Source organism: Homo sapiens, chromosome 17 (assembly GCF_000001405.40).
Source record: "Homo sapiens chromosome 17, GRCh38.p14 Primary Assembly".
Taxonomy (NCBI): Eukaryota; Metazoa; Chordata; class Mammalia; order Primates; family Hominidae; genus Homo; species Homo sapiens.
The window spans coordinates 55,653,074-55,655,181 of NC_000017.11; the positions used below are offsets into that span (position 1 = coordinate 55,653,074).

General features: G+C 35.8%; 1 annotated feature.

The window, feature by feature from the left end:
- Positions 1,081-1,281: a silencer, noted in NCBI's record as "peak2903 fragment used in MPRA reporter construct". NCBI's record gives its function as "represses an SCP1 promoter by STARR-seq MPRAs in K562 erythroleukemia cells {active_cell/tissue: K562}" and the evidence as "EXISTENCE:reporter gene assay evidence [ECO:0000049][PMID:32103011]".

The following is a 2,108-nucleotide window of genomic DNA, read 5'->3' on the forward strand; positions in this document are numbered from 1 at the left end:
CAGAGTTAGAATACTTGGATCTGAATGTCCAGGTTGTATGACCACAGGCGAGTCATATGACATTTTAAGCCTCAGTTTCTTCCTCTGTAAAATGCAAATAGAACCTGCCTCTTAAGGTAAAGTGTTTTGCAAGTGCCTGGCATATTATACACACATAACAAACAAGAGCTGGCACTATTATTCACCCATGGCACACTCAGGCATGCTGAGGCCTGCTTGCCAAATGGGGCCGTCTTGGAGACAGTTCCCACAACAATATTTTGTAGGAACTCTTGGAAATAATTTGTTAAAGTTTTTCATTTGGAAACTTGAGGTATTTTTGGAGTCTCCAAAATGAAAGGTCGTGTTGGATGGTAGCAGCTGGTGGGAACCTGAAGCTGAAACTGGGTGAGTTTTCATGAGTTCACATGGGCGACTTCCTTTCTCTCCTGTTAGCTTTGTTGTTGCTGTCCTATAGAAAGGAGTGAACCTGGACATCAAAGGCTCAAATGTGATTTAACCCTGTGAGATTATATGCAAATTAGCATAACAGAGTGACTATAGTCAATAATAACTTAATTTTACATTTTAAAATAACTTAAAGAGTGTAATTGGATTATTTATAACTCAAAGGATAAATGCCTGAGGGGATGCATACCCTATTCTCCATGATGTGCTTATTTCACATTGCATGCCTGTGTCAAAACACCTCATACACCCCATAAATAGATACACCTACTATGTACCCAAAAAACTAAAAATAACAAAAATTTCAAAATTCTGTCCAGATGCACATTCTTCTAAGGAGAGGGCTTCCAACTCTGAAAGAAGTTTACGATTTCCCCCCAAATATTTAAGAAACTGAGAGAATAAGTCAAGACATAAGGATTCCAGAACTAAGTAGTCTTTTTTTTTTTAAGTCCTACCTGTAAACTTTTTCTTACAAACTTGGCCAAGAAACAAACTTATGTCTTTTGGTGTTTGTTTGTCATTATTTCCTTTATTCATCAAAATTATTTAAGAATTTTATCATATGATTTACCTTAACAAGAGTAACTAATTTCCAGTAGTGATGAATATAATTTTTTCCCAAATGGATGCAGTAGAAATAGAAATATGACATTACAAAGGATTGCAAGACTGTTGCATTTTTTTCCTGCTTATCGTCACTGCTGTTGATTTATATGCCATCAGTGGAGAAGTGTTAACAGCCTGAGTTATTTATCTGTAACATGGTTTGGGTTCTGAAATTATTCATGCTACTCAAGCACTGAATTCTTAGAAGATGTATACTTTGCTATTTTTCTATCTACTGGTTATGCAGTCAGGTTTATAAATATGCCATAATGAACGTGCCTGGGAAGAAATGAATTTTTATCAGTGTCTATTATCTGGCAAATATTTTTAAAAAGACTGATTTTTTTTAACAAAAGACTAAAACTCATTACTTTTAAAAGCGCATTCTGCATGAAGATGTTGGTTTTATTCTTTTACAAATATTTTCATGGTATGTAGGAAAGTAATTTTCTAATGGGTATACCTTGAGTAATTTAAGTAAAATAAGTAGAGTCACGCTATTGCCCTAACATCATTTATTCATATATTCATTAAACATTTATTTACTGAGGGCTGCTATGTCCTGGACCAAGGATAAAACAGTAGAAGGTAGAGAACCTGCTGTAAGGCAGGAGCTCAAACATGTTATTTCCCTTCCCTTGCTATTGGATGAAATCACTGTGCCAAAAAATTATGATTCAGAATCGTTAAACGTTATGTAACTGAAATGCATTGGAAGCCGTGGTGTGAATTCAGGGCTGATTTTCAGAGAGTGTCCATCAGTTTGTAGCAAAGAGAAAATACACAAAAAGTTGAAGGCTTCTATGGGAATTATAAAATTTATGACTTGTTTCTAAGTCAAGGGCAGAGAGAACATTCCTAAATAAACACTTTTCTCATCTAGACAAAGAGAAGGAACAGAAGACGAAGCTAGCAAGCTTCCCATGATTTCACTGCAATTCATTACGTGACCTTCTCCAGCCACACTGGACACCCTTTCACATTTCCTCCCCAGCAATCCAGAAGCCCTGCAACAGCCACCTTTAGGAAATCTTTGCAGTATTAATAAAAAT